The sequence below is a fragment of the Homo sapiens genome, chromosome 11 (genome assembly GCF_000001405.40).
Source record: "Homo sapiens chromosome 11, GRCh38.p14 Primary Assembly".
NCBI lineage: Eukaryota > Metazoa > Chordata > Mammalia > Primates > Hominidae > Homo > Homo sapiens.
In genome coordinates this window covers 38,047,161-38,052,663 of record NC_000011.10, presented here as the reverse complement: position 1 = coordinate 38,052,663, position 5,503 = coordinate 38,047,161, and the positions used below count along the sequence as shown (strand labels likewise).

The following is a 5,503-nucleotide window of genomic DNA, read 5'->3' as shown; positions in this document are numbered from 1 at the left end:
TATGAGGGGAAGGTGGGATGAGGATCTTCAGGAAACCAGCCTACTTCAGAAGTCAGAATGTGAATAGGTAAAATACATTTCTAACATCATTGAGATATATTCTCCAGCCCGAGTCCATAAAATTTTTTAAAAATAAGCTATTAGGTAGACAAAATGAAACTATCTGACTTTGGTTCATATATTAAAACCCCTTCTTCCACAAATGAAAATCCTCTATTGCTCAAAAGGATTCCTCAGATATCTAAGTTCATTATTAAATCTTAATTATTTGTGACATTAGAGAAGTTGCATTCTACTACTTACATTCTTTGATCTGTGCTTCTTTAATTCTTCTTTATTATAGATAGAGATCTAAGTTAAGTCACCAGGAGTAACATGGGCAAATGTCACATTATTTACCATAACTATAACTTAAAAAAAATCACTTGATCCAGTAGTTTTTATTTTCACTACTACTAGCTCTATCTTTACCAGCATTCTGTTTGAAAAGAAGTCAGATCTGAAAAAGCATGTTGGTTTCCTAGAAAAGTCCATAAATGGAATAAAAATATTAAAATCAGATAGTTTTTTAAAAGTGGTCATTGAACCTAGTGCTTTAATGGAAAAGCAATAATTTACCATTATGGTAATTTTCAGGATTTGCAAACACCAATTCAGTAGAAAAACGAAGAAAATTAGTAGACTGCATGATGATTATGCTAGCTTTCTTTTATATCTCTGTTCATATGACCTGCTGAATAAATGATTATAAATTTAGTTAATGATTATACTGGAACACAAGTTGATAGGTTTGGCTCTATGTCTCCACCCAAATCTCATCTGGAATTGTAATTGCCATAATCCCCATGCACTAAGGGAGAGAGCAGGTGGGAGGTGATTGGATCATGGGGTGTTTTTTTCCCCATGCCGTTCTCATGATAGTGAGTGAGTTCCTACAAGATCTGATGGTTTTATAAGGCAGTTTTCCCTGCTCTTGCTGGCTCTCTCTTGCCTGCCACTGTGTAAGATGTGCCTCTTCCCCTTCCACCCTGATTGTAAGTTTTCTGAGGTCTCCCCAGCCATGCAGAACTGTGAGTCAATTAAACCTCTTTCTTTTATTAATTACCCAGTCTCAAGTATGTCTTTATAGCAGTGTGAAAACTGACTAATACACAAATCTTCCCTTTTTTTCATTCTACTAACCTAGCAACAGTTAAATAAATAGAATGCTCTCCATACCAAGGACAATGCTTGCTATATAGGCGAGTTAAAAAAAATCGCTATTTTTAACATTGATATTTGAAAAAGTTAATATGAAGTGTTACAGGACAAAAGTAGATCAAAATATTATTTCTTTAGGTTGAAGTGAGGATGTGTTTTTCCCTTCTGTGAGGGAGAATTTATCTCTACATTTAAAGAAAAACAGTATCATCTAATTTTTTATTAATAAAATATGGTTTAATACAATAACAATTTAGTGGCAAGAAGAAGAAAATAAGTAGCTTATGTTGCTCCAACTCTTAATCCCTTTATTCATCCAGTCCACAAATATTAACTAAATTAATGTTTACAACTTCAGAGGTTCTCAAATTTACGTACTTGTAAGTTGTTTAAGCTTAGGCAAACCAGGGTAATTTTTTATGTTTTAGACTCCTCATATGTAAAATGTGGTTAAAATAGTACCTACGTCATATGATTGATTTTAGAATAAATTAAATCAACATATATGTAGAACTTACAGTGGCAACTAGATCATATAAAAAACTCAGTAGTATTTGGCTATTGTTACATTTATCATTTTTACTCCTTTTTTGGAGTACTGTTATGGTCTACTCACTAACTAGAAATTCTAGTTTCTTTTCCTCTCCCCTCTTTTTTCTTTTCACCTGCTGTTTTCATCAAAGTAACCTGTCTAAAGCACAATTCAGATCTTTCTTGCTCAAAACCCTTCAATACCTCATACAAATTTCAACCACTACAATTTGACACCAATCTAGTCCCTCCACATTTATTTCATAAAACTGCCCTTGCCTACTTTACAAGGTGTAAAAATAGGAATAGTTAGAGTTCTGAGCTTTCTTGATGTCATGCATTTCCTCATGCTTTCTGGGTTCTCCAACTACCAATAGTTGGCTGAAATCTTTTATCCTCCAAGTTTTATTTTAGAATGAAACTTCCCCAGAAAGTATTTCTGATTCTCACAACTAAACATAAACTCACAACTAGAACAATATAATCTGTCTTTTGAGCCCCCCACAATACTTTGCTAGTATTTTTCCCATATAAATTCCTAGCTTACTTTTTTGTTTTCTCTGTGAAACGGTGTGTCCCTCTGTTGCTGACACATGGCTCACTGCAGTCTCAAATTCCTGGGCTCAAGCAAGCCTCCCACCTCAGCACCCTGAGTAGCTTGGACTATAGGCATGTACCACCACACCTGGCTAATTATGTATTCACTAACATATCTAACATATATTAATATATATTAGTATAGTACATATTGTAATAATAGTAATCATTGGTATATTTATTATACATATTATATTTACATGTGTGTGTATATAAATAAATATACATAGAGAGAATATACTCCTCCAAAATGTGCCTACTAAATTTTGCTGACATTCTACAAACTGCCAAAGGAGCAATTCTTAAAACACTGAAAATAACAATGAGATCTTTTAATTGAGTTCAAATAGGCTTTGAGAGAATTATTTCAGTCTAGTATGGTCAAACCCAACTACTTGTACCTATGATGGTGATTTTGTTTTGTTTTTAATGTTTCTGCCCCTTACATAAACTTCCTAAAAACACATTTAACCTATAACATTATTTTAGTCTTTAAGCTCTTCTTTGTAGAACCCACAGGGTTCTTCTGAAGGATACAGAAGCAATCTTACCTAAGGCCTAGAAGCAGTTCTGAAGGAGGGAGATACGTAACCACAGGAGCCTAGTTCACCTTGAAAATGGACTCTGAAGAGCTGTAACTCTGCATCCCAAAGAAAATATCCCCAGGGCCTCATTGCTGCCTATCCCCAAATTGTGCTATACACATGCAAGATTCAGTACTACATGGTGAGAATGGAAGCTTTCAGAAGTGTGAGAACTGATGATCAAAGTGAGCTGACGGCACTGGGGGAAGGACACATTTTCAAAGCAGGCGAAAGCAACCAGTGCAAATTATACCTTAGAGGATCTAGAGTTCAAACGATCTTTACTTTAACGGCAAGTGAGGAGACACTACTTTTGAAAAATAATTTTCTTTTTCACATCTACCTTTATTATCTTTAAATTAATGTAAAAGTCATGATATAGCTATTTGGAAATAATAGTATTTCTATGACCTCTAAAATCTGGACAGTAAAAGAGTCAGCATTCTCTTTTTTAGAAGGCATCTTTTAGGACTCAAACGTGGTTGAGAATGCATGAGAATACAATTGTGTGATTCTTCTTTAAAGCCATTCTTTGTGTTTGGTGCTGAAAAAAATGACAAACTTGCTAAGGGATGTATAATGCTATCATAGTGTATTGCATAATAATTTTCATGGATTGGCTTTTAATCTTATGCTGTAACTTCAGCACACCACATAGCTATTCTGACATCTACTACCAAGTCCATCATTTACAATTGCACAGAAATCTAGGACACTGTTCAACAGCCATTTTCTCTAAAGGGCCAGATAGTAAATATTTCATGCTTTGCAGGACATATTGTCTTTATTGCAACTACTCAAGTCTGCCATTGTAGTTCCAGACCAGCTATGTGCAATATGTAAGTAAATAGTTGTGCTCCAAACAAAACAAAATAAAACTAACAAACAAAAAACAGGTAGTGAGCCAGATTTGGCCAGGCCATACTTTATCAACTATTAGTCTAAAACATTCTTTTAGTGTTATAGCTACAAATTGAAGAGTGTTTTTAGGATAAAAGAACCCCTGTTTATCTGCGTTTTATTTTCCTTCTTGCATTTTATTCAATCATCTTACACTCTAGTCAAAAGGATTTACTTATTGTTATCCTTGCTCTGTTTGTATTTTCTCGCATTTGAAACATCAGTCCTGCCAGAAATTCCTATCTTAACATATTCTTGCCCAGAAATCTCATTTGTATTTCAAAGACCAACACTAAACTTGCTTTTTTTTCACTTTTGTCTTCTTCAGTTGTGTTATTCTTCCTCTTATTTCTTAAAGCAATGTGTCTGCAGATTCTTTAAAACCCTCTCATTTCATTCTCTGTAATATTGTTATCAACGTGTATTTAGATGAATTAATTCACTTCAGACTTCTTCCCTTTTCAAATTGACCAGCACAGTGTTTTCTATAAAATGTTCAATAAATAGTTATTCTGCTAATAATTGCCTTAATAACCACTTATATTTGGAAGGGGAAAGAAAAACATTTAAGGTAAATGTCATGGGATCAATTTGGCTAGAAAACTCCAAGTAAATCATGAGTCACTTAGCATTATTTCCATAATACTTTTATAACAGCGCCTACCCATATTGAGGACTTCCAAACTTGGCTGAGAGCCTTGGACACTTGATACCATATTTTTGATATCATATTTTAAAATAAGAAATTGTTATAATGTATCAAAGTTGATTCATCTGTTTTATGAAATCATTTAATTTCCCTTGTAAAATGGAAGGGAAATATCATGTAAATATGTAAACAGCTTTTAAAACAAATAAGGATGATTGCTTTCTAATGGCATCTAACTTACTAAGTTTGTGTTTTATTAGCATTTCAATATAATCAGAGATAATTGTATTCTTCTTTGAGAACATGTCACCAGACATTAGAAAATTGCAAATTATCAAATAAATATTACTCGCTCCCATTTAATATGTATATTCACCAACAAATTAATCGGTTTTTTCTCCTTAATTTTTTACTCAATAGGAGAGACTCAATTTTCAATAAATACATTTTAAAAAAGAAAATCATGAAAGTCAAGTATAGATAATATTTTCATGAAAATGCTTATTCTTACATCTTTTTTTCGAAAATTTTCTTATTTATCATTTTTTCCTTTTAATTTTTTTCCTAAAAATTATCCTAGTTCTCATAGCATTTTAGTGTTATGAAAACTCACCTACGTTTACATAGAGCTTTATTTTTTGCCCCTCATTTGGAAATGAGATATCCCTTTCTGTCCTGGGGTCTTTTAGGTTTAAATGATTGTTCTGAGAGAGAATCACTGAGAGCTGCAAGGGACAAGGCAGGGTCAACGGGAGGCTGCAATAATGAGAATTAGACATAAGTCTTTATTCTGGATCATAAATCAGGTCTTAAAATACCAGATAAGAGTTCAGAATAATACCCAGAAGGCAGAATTTTAAACACAAGCTGAAACTGCCATTGCAAAAATTGTAACTAAGAAAATTATGACAGTGAAAGAGATCGGACCTAACAAACTCCATCTTGTTTCTAACCTTTAAGCTGTCCTTGTTCATTCCTGGGCATAGGCCGGACTAACCTAGGGAATGAATTTAGTTTATGGTTTGACTCTGAAACAAAATTG

The 5,503-nt window shown here is 33.4% G+C and overlaps 1 annotated feature.

Annotated features, from left to right (window-relative positions):
* Positions 2,764 to 3,283: an enhancer, noted in NCBI's record as "NANOG hESC enhancer chr11:38070931-38071450 (GRCh37/hg19 assembly coordinates)". NCBI's record gives its function as "activates a minimal SCP1, AML or CMV promoter by ChIP-STARR-seq in naive and primed H9 embryonic stem cells {active_cell/tissue: H9 hESC(naive and primed)}" and the evidence as "EXISTENCE:reporter gene assay evidence [ECO:0000049][PMID:30033119]".